Below are 18,422 nucleotides of genomic sequence, written 5' to 3'. Positions count from 1 at the left end.
GAAGGGACTTCCAGGAGGAGGGGGAGGCATGCAGAAAGAGGGCCGAGGTTAGGGTCCCTGTCTGTCGTCCCACCCACGGTCCTCAGGGTGAGTCTCCATGGGCGCTGCCATCAGCCCTGGGCCAGTGCCTGGCTGGGGTCTTCCCATCATGTTGCTAGCAGCTCCTCTGGCTAAGGTCAAGGTACCCGAGGGCAGGAGCCTTATTTAGCCTGTCTCTGCCTCCTTTTAACTGTGCGACATCCTCTCTGGACCTCTGTTTTTCTTATCTATAAAATGGTACAATTCCTCTCTAAGGTTGTGTTTCTTCAGTTGCAGGATTCTATCAGCTTTTCTCCTAAGCTCCACATTTCAACTAAAGTGTTTTTGGCTGTTCTCTAGGAAAACCTGCCCCGTTCTCACGCTGGGCACCCGTTCACATGGTCCCCTTTGCAGGAGATGCCCTCCCCAGTTGGACTGCTGAGGGCTTTACCACTACCGTGGCCTCAGTTTCTCGCCTGCACGTTGAGGAGGCTGGCTGGCCCGCGTGAGTCCACAGGCCCTTCCCAGAAGCCCCCGCCTCTCTGTTCGGTCCCCTGCAGAGTCCCTGCGATGACGGAGGAGGTGGCCCGGGAAGCCCTCCTCAGCTTTGTGGACTCTAAGTGCTGCTACAGCAGCACGGTGGCTGGAGACCTCGTCATCCAGGAGCTGAAGCGGCAGACCCTCTGCAGGGTGAGAGGCCAGGGCCGGTGGGGGGCCTTGGCCGGGGGGCTGGGGAGCTGGGGGCTTTGGGACAGTGGAGGCCTGTTTGTGTGATGTGGCCAGGGGAAAGGAGTCCTGGGGGCAGTGTGTTTGAGTGTGAGCGGTGGTGATGTTGAATCCCATCTGCAACTTGACTTGTCTGTGGCTGTGAGTGATAATAAAAAGAACAAGTGTCAGGCCGGGTGCGGCGGCTCATGCCTGTAATCCCAGCACTTTGGGAGGCCGAGGTGGGTGGATCACCTGAGGTCAGGATCACCTGAGGTGAGTCAGGTTAGACCAGCCTGACTAACATGGTGAAACCCCATCTGTACTAAAAATACAAAAATTAGCCGGGCGTGGTGGTGGGTGCCTGTAGTTCCAGCTACTCGGGAGGCTGAGGCAGGACAATTGCTTGAAACTGGGAGGCGGAGGTTGTGGTGAGCTGAGATGGTGCCATTGCACTCCAGCCTGGGCAACAAGAACGAAACTCCAACTCAAAAAAAAAAAAAAAAAAGGCGTCATCAAACACCACTGACAGGCTTGAACATGCCAGGCATCATAGAACGCATGCTACACACACGCCTTGTCAAATCCTCATGGCTGCCCTATACGGTAGCATCACTGTCACTGGTTTACAGACGAGAAATTGGAAATTTAAAGAGGCAAAGTGATTTTCCCAAGAAGATGCAGCTAGAAGTGACAGAGGTGAGATTCAAACTCAGATTTGGTAGCCTCAAAGCCTATGTCCTCACTTCATACTTCCACAAGGCATGGGCTGAGAGAGGTTCATCTACCTGCCACTAGACTTCAGCTCCCTCTGCCTCCCCCAGATCATGACTGTGCCAAGAAATTCTTTATTCATTGCTGCAGGGAAGTCCTGCCTCTGACAGGCACTTCTGTCTCCTGTATTGACAGAGCAGAGGAGCAGCTTTTACAGTCACATTTTCTAGTGCTGCTCATCCAGCCACCCTCTGAGGAGCACATAATCACTTGCAGGCAGTGGTTAGAGCAGGAATCTGAAAGAAGAGGCCACTGTGTGGCTGTGTGACCTTGGGCAAGTCAGCTGACCTCTCTGAGCCTCCATTTCCTCACATGTAAAAGGAGAGGGCAAGTGATGTCCAAGACCTCTTCCCATTCTGTCACCCTATGGATGAAGATCAAGAAGGAAGATCTTGATATCAGGGAGATAAATTCCTCCATAAGGGAAATCTCAAAGCCATAGATTCCAGGGACCTCCATCTATCAAAGACAGCTACTGCTCTGAAGCTTGTCTCATAGAATCTTTGTATAAATTCATGGGGAACTGAATTAGCTCTAGTTTGAGCCTGTCAGGGGAGATTTCCTGGGGCTGGCTGACTTCCCTGCAGACATGGGGGCACGTGGAACAGAAATCGCTGTTGTCAGCCAGTTCCAGCAGCCGAGGGTGTTGTGCATGGACCTCTCAGTTTCCCCACTGAGCCCTGGGAGGGTAACAGCTTCATCTTTTTGCATAATGCTCTGTCTTCATAAGGGGCACGAGTGTGAACATGCTGTTTTTTTCCTTTTAGTACCGTCTGGAGACCTTTAGTGAATCCAGGATAAGCGAGTGGACATTTCAACCCTTTACTAGTAAGTGAATTGTCTGAAATTAGTTTAACTGGGGGCAAATAAGTCAGGGTGCTGGTGGAAAATATCAGGACTTGGCTCAGGCACTCATCTCAAATAAGATGGTCTTCTGCTTGGAGCCTTGGCTTCCTTACCCCCTGCAAAATGAGAGGATGGACTTTCATCTCAGAGACTTTCCAGTGCTTATCTTAGGAAATGCTTCCTGCCCAGGAAGCAGGAGGTCCTGAAAAAGCCAAGCATTTGCTTTTGCTACAGTCTGGTGCTGCCACACGGGGCCGGGCTGTAAAGCAGCATGCGTGTCTAAGCATTCACCTACACCCCCTCATGCCACCCCTAATTCCTCCTAAGCTTCTAGGCCCCTGTGCTCCCCATTCGCCTTGCCACCCCACCTTCTGCTGAGCCCCCACTGGAGGCCTAAGCTTCTCTCTTTGGGAAGATCTATGTCCTCCTTGTTTTCCCTAACAGACCGCTCAGGTCCATTCTTCAAGACTCAGCTCACGTGTCACTTCTTTTAAGAAGCTTTTCAGGATTTCTCCTCCTGCTGCTCCCCTCCCAGCAGGATGGGCCAGTCTTCTGAGTTTTCAGAGCCCTTTATGCAACTCTTGTCCAAAGCATGTATCATATCCTATCATATCTTATTGTGATGGTGTGCTGTCTGTCTCCTTGAACAGAGCAAGAGGAAGAAGATGGGATGGTGAAGGGGATGGTGATGATAATGGTGACAATTCTTGTGTGTCATCCCCTCAGTATGTGCCATTCCTGGTGCTAACAATTTTATATACATTCTTCCGTTTAATTTTCACTACCATCTTGTATGGTAGGTGCCATGACTATCCCCATTTTAGAGATGAGAGAATGGAAGCTCAGAGAGGGTAAGAAACTTCTCTAAAGTCAAACAGCTAGGACATAAAAGAGCCAGGAGTCAAACCCAGATCTGTCTCTCTCTAAATCTTGGTTGCTTAGTCACTGCCTCCAAGGAAGGCCTTGACTATCCATCCCTGTAGCCCCAGGATCTAGACTCATGCCTGGCACCAACTGAAGGCTTCATGCTGTTTGCTGGATAAATGAAAGTTTATCCCTGCTGCCCTTCGTCATTCTTACAATGACCCCTTTCTGTGTCAGACCACTCTGTGGATGGGCCGCAAAGAGGCGCCTCCCCCAGGCTCTGGGACATCAAGGTTCAAGGTCCTCCGATGTTTCAGGAAGACACCAGGAAGTTCCAGGTCCCTCACTCGTCACTGGTCAAGGTAATACGATTAACGCGATTACTGGAATACTTGCCCTTCTCCCTGAGAGGCTTTCCAGGCACTGCATGTTTCCTCAAACTCATCCTTTGAAGGGAAACCCAAAATTCAGGCCGGTGCTTCATTTGTTGGTTATAAATAAACGTAATTTAATAAAACCTGGTATATGGAATGTAGTCCCAAATAAAATTCCAAGCAAATCTGGGAGTGTTCACCTAGCAAACAGATCATCCGATTTACAAATCGTCACCAGCTTTAGTGAGCAGTGACATTCCTGGACAGGTTGAGTGTAGTTTTCATCTTTTTTAAAAATTTATTTTAGCTTAAACAGCTGAAGGGCTGAATGAAATTGATATAAAATAAAAACTTAAAACCCTGCTGGGATTTTGCATGAGAGTCAGTAAGGAAACAGAATCTGACTTCCATCCTGCTTTATGGACATATATTCGTGGCGTGAAGGGAGAGGAGCCTAGTGGATTACAAAAACACGACTGAGATAGCTCATATTGTGTTCTTTTCCGGTTACTGCCTGCTTTACACTTTTGGACTGGATTTAAGGGTGCAATTTTGCTCTATGAGTTTTTACAGAGTTCTAAGATAAAGAGTACTTTGAGAGGTCGAGAAAGTGTTCTATTCCTTTCTCAAGGGGGCCAAGGCTATTTTAAATTAGTGATTAAATACTAGTAGCTAGCTCATTGCCTTTCATAAAAATCCTGTCCATTTTTTAATGGCTTCTGTTCCCAAAGACCACATTAGCTACCTTATGGGCAAATGCCATCAGCCTTTGTAGTTCAGCCTGGTAGGAAACCGTAGAGTGTGAGCTAGGATATGGGGCTCCCAGAACACGTCTCCCCTTGATGGCATCCAGATTGGGCTAGGGCTCAGAGGAAATGGTGACATGATCTCCTGATGCAGTCAAGCCTTCTGGAATCTTAGTCAAATGGGAAGGGCCATTTCTTTCCTGTGCCATCTTCCTATCCTGGTCCTGATCCACTCCACCTTCGGTTTAGATGGTGATGTTATGGGTGTGGGAGAAGTGGCCCTTGGGAAACTAGATCCCAAGAAAGCGTTGCACTTTCAGGAATGCCACAAATGCCATGGGCGTGGGCGGTACAAGTGCAGCGGCTGCCACGGGGCGGGCACGGTGAGTCATCTGTGAACCACTGGTGAGTCAGTGAGGGTGTGGTGGCCGGGGGATCCTGGGGACAGCGGGCTGGGCTGGTGGCCTGAGGCTCCCTGCAGTAACTGTGTCATCTCAGCCAAGTCATCCTCCCTTTCTGGGCCTCCATTTTCCCGTCTATAAAATGAAAAAGTGGGGTTGTGTGGTCTCTAATGACACTTTCACTTTGACAGTTCGATTTTAATTTTTCTCTTATTTTCTCATCCATCTACCAACATACACTGAATACCTGCTTGGCTCTGACCTCTAGGTCCTGTAAGAGGGCCAAGACCTGGGGTTCTTCTTACCAGGCAGTCTTTGTCAGCCAGGGAAACCAACAAGCAACTCCATTTGTCGTGCAGGGCAGTGGGTGCTGAGCAGGTAAAGTTTGGAAGGCTTGGAGAGACAAAGTAGACAGTGACACTTGAGTTAGTTTCCTTCGGCTGCTGTAAGCCATGACCACCAATGGGTGGCTTAAAACAACAGACACAGCTGGGCGTGGTGGCTCACACTTGTAATCCCAGCACTTTGGGAGGCCAAGGCGGGCAGATCACGAGGTCAAGAGATCGAGACCATCTGGGCTAACACGGTGAAACCCCGTCTCTACTAAAAAAAAATACAAAAAATTAGCTGGGCATGGTGGCGGGCGCCTGTAGTCCCAGCTACTCAGGAGGCTGAGGCAGGAGACAGGCGTGAACCCAGGAGGCAGAGCTTGCAGTGAGCGGAGAACGTGCCACTGCACTCCCGCCTGGGCGACAGAGCAAGACTCCATCTCAAAAAAACAAAAAACAAACAACAGCAACAAACCAGACACCTATTATATCACGGTTCCGGAGGCCAGAATTCCAAAATCAAGGTGTGGGCTAGGCTGGTTCTTCTGGAGGCACTGAGAGGGAAGCCATCCCCTTCCTCTCCCCCAGCTTCTGGGAGCTGCGGGCCGTCCTTGGTGTTCCTTGGCTTGTGACTGTGCCACTTCAGTCCCCACCTGCCTTGTCACCCAGCCTTCTCCCTGCATGTCTTTTTGTCTTCACATGGGCTTCTAATAAGAACACGTCATCGGATTTAGGCCCTACCTTGTCATATGACCTCATCTTAACTAAATGCATTTGCAAAGACTATCTCTAAATGAGGTCCCACTCTGGGATTCCAGTAAACTTGAACTTGGAAGGGCCGCTATTCAACCCAGCACAGGCCCCTCAGTGGCATTACTCATGGCATTAGTTGTCTTTTCAGAAACCTTCATTCAGGCCTATTAACAATCCCAGGGGGTAAAACCAAACTTCTCGCGTTCTTTGGTGTCCTGATTCGAGCCTCATCCTTTGGCCATGCTCTGACCCTGGCTACCGTGAACTGTCTTCTCCACCAGCCCTTTCATCCCTCGCCTGCTGGGTTTGCATCCCCAGCTCACTCCTGCACTGCCTGTGGGTCCCAGCGGTGGTCTTCCCTGGAATGTTTCTGGAGCCCACCATGAGCCCAACTGGGAGCACAGCCTAGGCCTTTTCTGGGGGCCATTTCTCAAAAGGAGCCCCCTGTCTCCAGTGCCAGGCCCCTGACCAGCGCCTGTGTCCCAGCTTCCTCTCAACACTTGGTAGGGGTCAGGTCTCAGGGGTTGTGGGGATCAGAGAAGAGGCAGGAGAGGCTGATGTCTCAAAAGAAACAGGGATCTTAGGGAGTGGAGGCTTTGAAAGCTACAACTGGAAGGATCCAAAGATACCCCATCTCCACCCCGCACCATTTTACAGATGAAGGGGCTAAGGCCCAGGGGGAGGAAGGTCACCAGGCTGGGATTTGAACCAGGTCTTGGGATGCCGTTGGCCCTGCTTCCTGGGAGGCCAGCGGGGGCTGAGGCAGTGGTGTGTCTGCAGGTGCGGTGCCCATCCTGCTGCGGAGCCAAGCGCAAAGCCAAGCAGTCCCGGAGATGTCAGCTGTGCGCGGGGTCCGGCAGGCGAAGGTAGGGGCATCTCCCCAGCACCGCGGTGAAGTGCTCTTGCTTTCTGGCTTTTCATTGCCTGCCCATCTGGAAGGCAAACAGGAACCCATCTGTCTCGTCACTGCTGTGTCCCCAGAGCTCTGCACGTAGTAGGTGCTCTGTGGTTATTTGAAGAGTAGGTGAGCTTTTCTCAAGGCCTGGCATTTCTGGACAAGGCTGGAACTCGTCATGCAATATATGTGGAAAGAGTGTGAAGAAAGAGCCACTGCAGGGAGGAAACACAGGGACGGGGTTACCAGGAAAGGAGACCTCTCCCGCCCACGGGTTGGGAAGTGAATATCAAAAACCACCTAAAGGCCAGATTTTTAACTCACTGAGGATCAGTTCCTGGGCAAGCCCCTATTTATAACTCATTTTGGGGTCTGAATGGAGGAGGAGTCAAGGAAAGTTGGTTGATTGACTAAACAATAAACAAAATTTCATCACTGCTCACAGCTTTGCAAACACTGGGCCATTGCATTTTGTAAATCCTATCCTTTAGTGTATTTATAACTTTTTAAGGGAAACAGGAAACCGTGAGGAGTAAAAATACTCAAGGTTGGGTTGGTTAATGATACTTTTGCCTCATTAAAGCCCAGGCCATCCTTCTGACAAGCCAGTTGGAGAAGCTTTGGTGGCACCTTCCATCGTGGTTGGTAGAGACAGTCTCTGACTGGGAAAAAGACACTTATTTTTCTTTCATTTGCAAGTGAAAGGAATCCAATTCAAATTGGCTTTGGCAAAAAAAGTCGATTTACAGGCCTAGGTAAGAATGAAGTCCAGGGGTATATTTCAGGGATGGCTTCAGGCCCAGCTGGATCCGGGTGCTTAAACAACACCACCAGGAATCTGTATCCACCTCTCACTCTGCTTTCCTTTGTGTGGGCTTCATTTGCAGGCAGGGGGTTCCTTGTAGTGGCAGAGGAGATCACCAGTAGCTCCAAGCTTACTAATCCCAGGAGAAAAGATGTCCCTTTCCCGATAGTCCCGACAAACATCCTGGGACAGATCTCATTGCACTCGCCTGGGTCATGTGCCCATCTTTGTATCAGCCACTGAGACCAGGGACATGGAATAAGATGATTGGCCAGTCCCAGATCCCAAGCTGTTCACAGAATTTAGTGGTGGGGGAGGGGGGGGGGCAGGCCCTAGAGCCATGTGGGCTGGGTGGGGGAAGGGTGATCCCCATAGAGATATTGGGGCACTGCCAGCAGAAGGAGGACTAGGTGGTGGGCAGGTACAAACAATGCAGGCCCACCACAGTCTACCTCCAGGAGGAAGGGGGTGCAGGTGGGAGCCTCTGGAAGCCACCAGGACCTGCAACTGATCTGGGGGTACGGACTCTGTGCCTTTCTCAGATGCAGCACTTGCTCAGGGAGAGGGAACAAGACCTGCGCCACCTGCAAGGGGGAGAAGAAGCTGTTGCACTTCATCCAGCTTGTCATCATGTGGTATGTGGCAGTGTCTCAATGCTGTGGCATGCGGGGGTGGCTGAGGGACTTAGCCCTGGACTGGCTTCTGCAGAGAAACTGTGGTTGGTTGGGGCTTTCACAGTGCAAGAACCTGCCAGGACTTAGAAGGGGGAGAATTCCCTTGGAAGAGGCAGTGTGGGGTTGTGGGATGCTGACTGGCTTTAGAACAGACAGACCTCAGTCCAAATTCTGCCATCACCACTTTCTAGGGCAGCAGCCGCTCCACAACTGAGCCCTTCCCGTAGGAATAGAGCCATAGCATCCTGCTACGTCCCTAAGTCAGTCAGGGCTTCCGTGCATTAAAGGTTTCTCCTGTCTCAGGCACCTTGCTAAGTGCTTTGTAGGCAAAGATGAAATGAGGTAATGGAGCTGAACTGTCACTCTCCTTACTAGCTTCATTTTACAGGTGAGGAGACTGAGGCTCAGAGAGGCTACAGAACTGTTGCAAGGTCCCTCCAGTAGCAATTCAAGCCCTCAACCCCAGGTCTGTCTGATTGCAAAGGCCATGCTTTTAACCTGCCACACTGTGTGCTTTCATCCCTCATCCTCCTTCCCTCCAGGAAGAACAGCTTGTTTGAGTTTGTGTCTGAGCACCGGCTCAACTGCCCCAGGGAGCTCCTTGCTAAAGCCAAAGGAGAAAACCTCTTTAAGGATGAAAACTCGGTGGTAAGAGGGCATTGTAGATGGGAACAAAGGAAGCTGGGTTCCTCCTCTGCTCTCGTGGGCCTGGGGCTGCTAGCTGTGTGTGCAGGCTGCATTCCTTGGAAGGACAGGTTGTGTAGGAGCAGAGCTCCCCAGACATGGATAAGGCTGTGGGGAGCCTGGGGGCTGTCAGTTTCCTTTTGACTTTTACACACTCAGCCCTCTGTCCTTCCCCACCCACCATGCCGTTCTTCCTTCCTAATACTCTCTTTCTCTCTTTCCCTCCCTCCCTTCTTCCTCGCTCTTTTCCTTCCTTCCTCATCCCCTCCTTCCCTTTCTTCCTCATCCCCTCCTTCCTTCCACAAATCTTGAGACCCTCCTCCTATATCAGGCACTATTCTTGGCCCTGGGTAGACCATGGCAAATAAAACAAGGACCCTGCCCTCATAGAGCTTACAGTCTGGTGAGGGGACTATGATGGACCCTTTTATAGCAATGTCAGATGGTGAAGGGGCACTGAGAAACATTCAAGCAGGGTAAGGGGCAGGGAGGGGTGGCAGTGTCGTTCCAGCTGGAGGTGGGAAAGCCTCTTTGTGGAAGTGACCTTGGGCACAGACCTGGATGCAGGGCAATTGGGGAGTGGACCTTGTGGCGTGGGAGCGAGGGGACAGTGGGGCAGAGGCCTTGAGGACTGGCAGAGGGCAGTGAGCAGGGCAGAGCTAGGAGCTCAGAAGTGAGAGGTACCTTCAGCCAGAGGAGAGGGTCCTGCGGGCCAGGAGTTGGCACACCCAGCCCACTGCCTGCCTTTGTCGATAAAGCTTTATTGGAACACAGCCCCACGCATTTTCTGACAGGTTGTCTATGGCCGCTTTCCTGATGGTGGGACAGAGCTGGATAATGACAGACTACATAGTCTGAAAGCCTGAAGTATTTACTATTTGGTTCTTAGCAGAAAAGGTTTTCTCACTCTGCCGTTGGCCTTGGCAGAGAGATTGGCTTCAATGGGACTTCTGATGGGGGTCCTCAAACTATAGGGAGGTGTGTCAGCCTCCTTTCTTTGCTCCAGTAATTTGGCTTTTTAAAGGCTCACCTCAGGCATCCCCCCACCAGAAGCCCTGCACCCCACTCTTCCATTTGAGTTAGGGATTTCCCCCTGGGCTCAGCTCAGACTGAGGACCATCCCTAGGCGTCACTGGCTGCTGGCAGCTCTGTGAGCTGACCCTGCCTGGTGCTGAGCTCTGACCACCGTCTCACCCTCAGCGTCCACAGCAGCACTGGGCCCAGGTGGACACTTAGGAGGAGGGTGGAGGAAGGAGCCACAGTTCCACAATGAGGGGCAGAACAGGGAGCCCCAGGGGAGGGCTATGCTTGCCCTTAATATGTGGAAGGCTTTCAAGCCTGGCAGAAGGGGATCTGGGGGCTTTGGGGACCGAGGAGATGCCCCAGTGCCCGGACTTTCTGTAGGTTGAGTGCAAGCGCCTGGGCTTATTTGTGGTTCATTTTGTATCCTCAGCTCACAGACAGTGCCTGACCCTTAGAGGGCGGTTTGAATGTGTACATGAGAAATGAATCTGAGTTCCTTTCCCGCTACACGTGTACAGACCCCACGAGTCCACACTGACGGGGACCACACCAGCCATGGTCACTGCCTTGTCCTGCACCTAGCGCGGTGCCCGGCACACAGGAGGCACGCAGCTGGGGTATCCAGTGGGCTGCAGGTGATAGCGTTCTCTCTCTGACTGCAGGCCCCCTGTTTTCCTGTTTTTGAAATTCCTGAGACCACACCGTGGGTCCCTCTCTCAGCCCCCTTCTCTGTCTGGCTCTGGCTCTGGCTCTAGTCAGCCCCAGTGACTTCCAAGGCTCCAGGTGCGGCAGCCAGGTGGTCTGTGTCTCTCTCTCTTTCCCCCAGGTGTACCCCATCGTGGACTTCCCTCTGCGAGACATCTCTCTTGCCTCCCAGAGGGGCATTGCAGAGCACAGCGCTGCCTTGGCCTCCCGTGCCCGCGTCCTGCAGCAGGTGAGCCAGGGCGGAGGGGCCATCTGGCTCTGACGTCTCTTCCTGGGCTGCTGAGCCCTCTTTCCTGAGAACGTCGGAGCGGAAGGATGAGGACGTAGAGGTGAGGGAGGTCCCGGGGGAGGAGTGTGGGAAGGGGTAGGGCCTGACCTAAGGCCCCAGGGCATGGAGCAGGGCAAGTAAGACGCAGAGGCAGGAAGGACCGTGGGTCGCAGGAGAAGTTTGCATTTTTATTCCCAGAAGCGATTGCAGGGTTTTAAGCACGAATGTGGTGTCATGGGATTTTTGATTCTGACTCCCTGGTGTTCAGATAGGGGAAGAAAAAGGTGGGGATTGAACGTCACAGGCCTGGCTGGAGCCCAGTGTCTTGCCCCTGAGGCCCCTGGCACTTCCCAACCCCCAGCCCTGTCTTCTCCTGGCCTCTGTGGTTTTGGCCGCTGTATCCTGATGGCCACAAGGTGGCGGTGGTGGCTGCTACATCCCCAGGAGCAGCCCTGAGTAGCCCCTTCTGCTGCTGCTGCAGCCAGCCAGGGGACCCTAACGTGGGAGGTTGGCCTGATAATGTGCTTTGCTGGAGCTGCATGAAGTGGGACAGCAGCCGGGACAGGAACCTTGCAGACTGGGCTGAGATCCTGCGTTTCCTGCATCCCAACATGATCCTGGGCCAGCCACTTCCCTCCTTCAAAGCCAGTCTCTCACCTGCGAAAAAAGACACTAAAGCACCTCAGAGGGTTTTGCAGCAAAACCCTCGAAATGTGTTTGGCACCCGGTGCTCAAAATGTCCCTTTCTGTCCTTTGCAATGGGCATTTCCCCTTCTCTGTCTCTGTCTGCACATCTCCCTGATTTGTAGGAGAGAGAAGATGCATTTTTATCTACATGAATACGGATCATCTTGGAGCTGGAAGGGGGCTGAGAAATCATGCAGTTCAGGCACTGCAAACTTACATGCCTACCAGGGCCAGGCAGTAAGGAGGGTGACAGAGCGTCATTCAAAGGGGCCTGTCGACACTCAGCTTTCTGTAGGCACAAGACCCAGTGTTTCCAGACTGTCTGAAGTCCAGATTTTTAGATGAAAACTTGTAGTTTTTCAATATTTTGGCAGCTGGGAAAACTGAGGCCCAAGGAGGGGAAGTTACCTGTCCTAAGTCACACAGTTTGTTGGTGGCAGGTCCAGGACTAGAACTCAGGTCTCCTGAGGCCCTGCCTCTGCCAATACAGCCATTCCGGGAGCCAGGAAGGGTAAACCAGGGGGCAAATACACATTTTTCTTTAAAAAGGAGTATAATGGGAGTGGAGGTCACTTCTCTGAATCTTTTTTCTAATTTTGCCTTTGGTCCTAGAGCTGTAACAAAGATTCATGCTAATATTTTACTCAAGATGGAGAAGTTAGAGCCGAAATCCAGCCATGAGGACATAGCTGGCTAAATTCCATCTCCCAGCCATGGCCATGACTCTGAGACCTGGAATCTGCTTATTGCAGGGGCTCAGCTGCACAGACAGATAAACAGCCAATTACGTGATGACCACTTGATGGCAATTGATGTCTTGAGCAATTTGTGGCCTCAAACTTCGAGACTTTTTGAGCCAGAAGCAGATAGAGGCAGGGGGATTGCGGGGGTTGTGGGGGGGCTGGTATTGCCATGCTCTCCATTGGATCTTAATAGAAAAATCTGGAAACAAGAGTGGTCCTGACTTCAGTGTCCAGGCCTTCTGAGCACTGACATTGACTCCCATCTCCTTGTGCCCTTTAGTCCCTATTTGGGGTCCTTTGCACTGAAATTTCAAGAGGCATCTTCCAACTTTTATTTCCGAAATTGTCATTTGGATTCCAGTTTCTGGCATATGAAGAAAACTCAGTCACCGGGGTCTTATCTGGTTGTCTCAACAACTCTGTGAAATAAGAGTTTTTATTCCCATTTCACAGATGAGGAAACTGAGGTCTAGAGAACTGGAGCACAAGATCACATGGAAAGCTGTGTGGAAATTTTGTGCCCTGACTCTGATTCCCCTCTTCCTTCTGCAATGTCATGCTGCCCCCTGGCCTCTCCTCTGACAGAACAGGGGCCTGCCTCTCAAAATACACCCCCACTGCCCAGATCTCCAGGGATGGCCAGGGCAGTTTTTCTGAAATGGAGAGAGAAGTCGAAGCAGCCAGATGGCTTCAGCCTCAGCCCCCCACCCGGCCTGGTTTACCTCTTCCCTAGGGTCTTCAAGCTATCAACTACAGCAAGAGGACTTGGGGTTCTTTTCCCAACAGGAAGAATTCCCTGCAAGTAAAGAGGGCCTGACCCTGGGCCAATCATGCCACCTGTCCCTGGGTTTGGGTCCCCACATCTGAGTCTGGGACAGGGGAACATCTTGTGCAGAAGAACTTAGGGGTTTTTGCACAGAGCCCGGCCCACAGGAAGTCCACAAGAAAGCTTGGCTTAGATGATCAGGAGCAACATTCTTATGTCAACTACGAAGTGTAGTTGCCAGTAACAAAACAGCACCAGAAGCCAGTACAGATGGGAGCCTAATGTTTGCTCCCAAGGTGGGCTGCTGTTTTCTGTTCAGGGCCTCATATTGCAGAAAGTTATTGAGTAACTGCTCAGAGAAGGGGCTGGAGAATGAGGGACTTAGCATCTCCCTGTGGGAGGGAATGAGGTCCCCATCCTGAAAATAGCCTGGCACAGCCAACTAAGCTTTCAAATGTCTTCGGGGTCAATGTTTTATCTTAAAATTTGATTCAAATGTTAGAAACCGCTTCCTAATACCTCTGTGGTTGTTTTAATACACACATGTTTAAACCGACTTTATCCTCCACTGCCCCCCAGCACTCCATCTAAAAATTAATGCTTCTGGAAGTTGTCCTACTTGGTTGGTGACTTTCCGTACACCCTGGAACTCCCCTGGGGATGCCTGTGCCCACTTGGTGAAACCTAGAATCAAATGGTAGCTAAAGATGAGAAGTCGGTTTTGGCCAGAGCTTAGGGTGCGTGAAGGAGCACAGTAGGAGATACATCTAGAAAGGCAGATTGAAGGCAGATTGTAGCAGGGTTTAGAATGCTGTGTTAGTCTGTTCTCATGCTGCTAATGAAGACATATCTGAGACTGGGTAATTTATACAGGAAAGAGTTTTCATGGACTCACAGTTCCCATGGCTGGGGAGCCCTCACAATCATGGCGGGAGGCAGAGGAATGGCAAAGGCACATCTTACATGGCAGCAGGCAAGGCAAGAAGAGAGCATGTGCAGGAGAACTGCCTTTTATAAAACCATCAGATCTCGTGAGACTTACTCACTATCATGAGAATGGTATGGGAAAAACCCACCCCCACGATTCAATTACCTCCCTCTAGGTCCTCTTATGTCACATGAAGATTATTATAATTCAAGGTGAGATTTGGGTGGGAACACAGAGCCAAACCATATTGAATGCCAACTCCAGAGCAGGACCTTTCATACCACACACAGTAGGGAGCTACTGAAAGTTCCTGAGCAGGTGAGTGACTTGAACAGAACACTGACATTTTCCTTGGCTATTTGTTTCCTCAGCGCCAGACCATTGAGCTGATCCCCCTCACAGAAGTTCACTATTGGTACCAAGGAAAGACTTATGTCTACTACATCTATGGCACTGACCACCAGGTGTATGCGGTGGACTATCCTGAGCGGTATTGCTGTGGCTGTACCATCGTGTGACATAGCATGGCTGTCCCCAGAGCCTGCCATTCACGTTTGCCAAGGAAGATGGCCGACACTCTCTGAGTGTGTTCACTGTTGGCTGCATTGGACAATCACATACAAACCCTGGCATGTCCTTCCAGAAAAACCAGCTTATCATCTATCAAGCTCCAACCCCTTATACAGCTCCTCTGGTGGAATCCATGACTCATATGTTTAACCTACAATAATTCAGCTATACACATTCCTGTAGAACAAATGAGAGAAATAATTTAAATGGCAAGGACTTTGCCTCTGGTCTCCAAGTTAATGCCCCGATGATGCGTGTGATTTGATTTTGCTTTTTCCCTTTGTCGGTCTTGGTTCTGGTGTGCTTCTTCTAGTGGGAGCCTCTTGACGATCTGAGTATTACTGAAATGTTCAAGGATACACACAAATATCTGGCCCTAATGCACAATAAATACTGCACTTAGGCATAAAGTGCAATATGTTACTGCCCATTCTGTGGATCAGGAATTCAGACACAGCCACAGTGCGGATGATTTATCTCTGCTCTGTCATGTCTGGGGCCTCACCTGGAAGATTTGAAGCCTGGAGCTGCTCAAGGGTGGGGCCTGAAATCATCTGAAAGCTGGTTCACTCAGATATTTGGTGGTTGATGGTGGCTGGTGGTTGGGACCCCTTTAGGGAAGCTGTCAGGTGGAGCACATATATGTGGCCTCTCCACGCAGCAAGAGCTTCCTCACAAGATGGCAGCTCTGAGAGTGTGTGCCCCTCATGCACGTCCCAATTGAAGAAATAGAGATCTGTTTCACAGCTGGAGAACAAACCAGCTGTGTTGGATGGACCAAGGGTCTGCATGCCAATCTCTAGTGTGGTGTCTATGTAAGGAATTTAGAGAGTGTTTTCGAATAGTTACAGTTTTTTACATCACGGGCTGACCTTAGAGCCTGCCCACTGAATAAGATGTGAACTTGATGCTCTGTGCACCCATCACAGGCAGGAGCTCCCACCTGGTGGTATAAGGCTGGGTGGGGGGTGGTGCTGGAGGGGATGCTCTGCAGTCCTTTTGCCGAGTCAGCTTTGGAGAGGTGGTGCTGGGCTAGGCAGGTCTCTGTGCATCTGGTTGTGGGTAACCATAGACCTTCCGTCATCTCATGATGCCTGCCCCACACCCAGAAGGGGATTGCTACAGCAAGGAGTGGCCTCAGGAAGCAGCCCCTCAGAGGGCCATTGGTGCACTCTCTTGATCCCCAAATCCCCTCACTGGGATGTGGACTTAACAGGCCTAGTTGAGGGAGGCTGGGGAGACTGAGGCCATCCCCCAGGGCATCACTGATAAATGATATGGAAATGAGCACTCTCATCCTCACCTGCTACTGCCGAACCCTGATTTTCCTGCGTCCTGTTTGCATGTGGCTGTTTCCCGAGTTTGGCTGAACCACGTGAACCCCACACACGGGTGGGTCCTGGCTAACAGTGTGGTGGCTAGCCTCATGCAGGAACAGCAGGGGTTAGGGGGGTTCTAACTCCCTTGGGACCACACAGAAGCCCAAGGGGAACCGGACAGAGAAGCAAAGGGAGAAACACCTGGAGGCTTGGAGAAGCCAGGGCCCAGCAAACCTTCCAGGCTCAGATTTCAGCTCCCGCTCACTCCATAGCTCAGTATGTCAGGGAGGCCAAGGGCAGGACGAGGTGTCCCCTTGGGTCAGGGTGCACTGGGGCATGGGCAGCAGCTGGTCCCAGGGACAGAACCTGGTGGTGGCAGGGGAAAGAGGAAGCATTCCGCAAGGAAGACCTCACTTCATCTTCCTCCATCACGCTGAAGTCTGGGAGGCCCCTGCTCTGGTTTAACAAGGGAGGCCATGCCCTCCTACCCCCATGGCCTACCTGTGTGGCCCTCAAAGGGGAGGCTTCTGCCTGTCAGGCGCATGATACAAGCTGAGGGGACAGCTTTTGGTTGACAAGCTGGGGGGACAGCTTTTGGTTGACAAGCTGGGGGGACAGCTTTTGGTTGTTACAATGATTGGAAGCAACACCATTGCACTAAGTGCACAGAGTCAGGAAGCTCAGGCATCCAGCAATGCCGTTCTGCAGCTCACCCGACCTGCATGTAACCCACTGACCTTCCTGCACGTAACCCACTGACCTTCCTGCAGAATCTCGGTTATGCACAAAAGTCCTATCAGGTAGTACTTAATGTAATGCTTATTTTTATTTAGTGCTCACCTGTGTTTTTTGTTTTTTCCTATATGTCTTGTTTGAAATGACTTCGGATCATCTTACTTTTCTTAAGTCCAAATGTGTGTTCTTTTTTTTTTTTTTTTTACTGGTGGAATTTTAATTTTTCTTTTTTTTTATTATTATACTTTAAGTTTTAGGGTACATGTGCACAATGTGCAGGTTAGTTACATATGTATACATGTAGCCATGCTGGTGCGCTGCACCCACTAACTCGTCATCTAGCATTAGGTATATCTCCCAGTGCTATCCCTCCCCCCTCCCCCCACCCCACAACAGTCCTCAGAGTGTGATGTTCCCCTTCCTGTGTCTATGTGTTCTCATTGTTCAATTCCCACCTATGAGTGAGAATATGCGGTGTTTGGTTTTTTGTTCTTGCGATAGTTTACTGAGAATGATGATTTCCAGTTTCATCCATGTCCCTACAAAGGACATGAACTCATCATTTTTTATGGCTGCATAGTATTCCATGGTGTATATGTGCCACATTTTCTTAATCCAGTCTATCATTGTTGGACATTTGGGTTGGTTCCAAGTCTTTGCTATTGTGAATAATGCTGCAATAAACATACGTGTGCATGTGTCTTTATAGCAGCATGATTTATAGTCCTTTGGGTATATACCCAGTAATGGGATGGCTGGGTCAAATGGTATTTCTAGTTCTAGATCCCTGAGGAATCGCCACACTGACTTCCACAATGGTTGAACTAGTTTACAGTCCCACCAACAGTGTAAAAGTGTTCCTATTTCTCCACATCCTCTCCAGCACCTGTTGTTTTCTGACTTTTTAATGATTGCCATTCTAACTGGTGTGAGATGGTATCTCATTGTGGTTTTGATTTGCATTTCTCTGATGGCCAGTGATGGTGAGCATTTTTTCATGTGGTTTTTGGCTGCATAAATGTCTTCTTTTGAGAAGTGTCTGTTCATGTCCTTTGCCCACTTTTGGATGGGGTTGTTTGTTTTTTTCTTGTAAATTTGTTGGAGTTCATTGTAGATTCTGGATATTAGCCCTTTGTCAGATGAGTAGGTTGCGAAAATTTTCTCCCATTTTGTAGGTTGCCTGTTCACTCTGCTGGTAGTTTCTTTTGCTGTGCAGAAGCTCTTTAGTTTAATTAGATCCCATTTGTCAATTTTGTCTTTTGTTGCCATTGCTTTTGGTGTTTTAGACATGAAGTCCTTGCCCATGCCTATGTCCTGAATGGTAATGCCTAGGTTTTCTTCTAGGGTTTTTATGGTTTTAGGTCTAACGTTTAAGTCTTTAATCCATCTTGAATTAAGTTTTGTGTAAGGTGTAAGGAAGGGATCCGGTTTCAGCTTTCTACATATGGCTAGCCAGTTTTCCCAGCACCATTTATTAAATAGGGAATCCTTTCCCTATTGCTTGTTTTTCTCAGGTTTGTCAAAGATCAGATAGTTGTAGATATGCGGCGTTATTTCTGAGGGCTCTGTTCTGTTCCATTGATCTATATCTCTGTTTTGGTACCAGTACCATGCTGTAGTACTATACAGTACTATACTGTAGCCTTGTAGTATAGTTTGAAGTCAGGTAGTGTGATGCCTCCAGCTTTGTTCTTTTGGCTGAGGATTGACTTGGTGATGCGGGCTCTTTTTTGGTTCCATATGAACTTTAAAATAGTTTTTTCCAATTCTGTGAAGAAAGTCATTGGTAGCTTGATGGGGATGGCATTGA

At 50.2% G+C, this 18,422-nt stretch overlaps 1 protein-coding gene across 35 annotated transcripts in view, besides 5 other annotated features; it reads left to right on the top strand.

Annotated features, from left to right (window-relative positions):
- The window catches only part of SSUH2 (ssu-2 homolog), a 62,542-nt gene extending 47,554 nt beyond the window's left edge, over window positions 1-14,988 (top strand). For 28 of the 35 annotated variants that reach the window (XM_047448236.1, XM_047448234.1, XM_017006515.2 and 25 more), the window contains 9 exons: window positions 379-708; window positions 2,265-2,325; window positions 3,445-3,569; window positions 4,648-4,710; window positions 6,591-6,676; window positions 8,053-8,145; window positions 8,727-8,832; window positions 10,718-10,825; window positions 14,360-14,988. In XM_047448236.1, coding sequence (XP_047304192.1) covers window positions 379-708; window positions 2,265-2,325; window positions 3,445-3,569; window positions 4,648-4,710; window positions 6,591-6,676; window positions 8,053-8,145; window positions 8,727-8,832; window positions 10,718-10,825; window positions 14,360-14,506 — 1,119 coding nt within the window. In that variant the 3' untranslated portion in view covers window positions 14,507-14,988. The remainder of the gene's footprint in view (window positions 1-378; window positions 709-2,264; window positions 2,326-3,444; window positions 3,570-4,647; window positions 4,711-6,590; window positions 6,677-8,052; window positions 8,146-8,726; window positions 8,833-10,717; window positions 10,826-14,359) is intronic. The other 7 variants (XM_017006534.2, NM_015931.4, XM_017006519.2 and 4 more) reach the window with 2 other exon arrangements.
- Window positions 4,762-4,851: an enhancer, noted in NCBI's record as "active region_19390". NCBI's record gives its function as "activates an Ori minimal core promoter by ATAC-STARR-seq in GM12878 lymphoblastoid cells {active_cell/tissue: GM12878}" and the evidence as "EXISTENCE:reporter gene assay evidence [ECO:0000049][PMID:35858748]".
- Window positions 10,708-11,087: a silencer, noted in NCBI's record as "fragment chr3:8664973-8665352 (GRCh37/hg19 assembly coordinates)". NCBI's record gives its function as "represses an EF-1alpha promoter that drives an FKBP-Casp9 reporter gene in an ReSE screen in HepG2 liver carcinoma cells {active_cell/tissue: HepG2}" and the evidence as "EXISTENCE:reporter gene assay evidence [ECO:0000049][PMID:32094911]".
- Window positions 10,708-11,524: a biological region, named in NCBI's record as "H3K4me1 hESC enhancer GRCh37_chr3:8664536-8665156".
- Window positions 10,904-11,524: an enhancer, noted in NCBI's record as "H3K4me1 hESC enhancer chr3:8664536-8665156 (GRCh37/hg19 assembly coordinates)". NCBI's record gives its function as "activates a minimal SCP1, AML or CMV promoter by ChIP-STARR-seq in naive H9 embryonic stem cells {active_cell/tissue: H9 hESC(naive)}" and the evidence as "EXISTENCE:reporter gene assay evidence [ECO:0000049][PMID:30033119]".
- Window positions 11,177-11,471: a silencer, noted in NCBI's record as "tiled region #1018; HepG2 Repressive non-DNase unmatched - State 12:CtcfO". NCBI's record gives its function as "represses a minimal TATA promoter and a strong SV40 promoter by Sharpr-MPRA in HepG2 cells {active_cell/tissue: HepG2}" and the evidence as "EXISTENCE:reporter gene assay evidence [ECO:0000049][PMID:27701403]".
- Window positions 14,989-18,422: the final 3,434 nt, after the last annotated feature.

Source organism: Homo sapiens, chromosome 3 (genome assembly GCF_000001405.40).
Source record: "Homo sapiens chromosome 3, GRCh38.p14 Primary Assembly".
NCBI lineage: Eukaryota > Metazoa > Chordata > Mammalia > Primates > Hominidae > Homo > Homo sapiens.
This window is presented reverse-complemented; position numbering and strand designations above follow the sequence as displayed.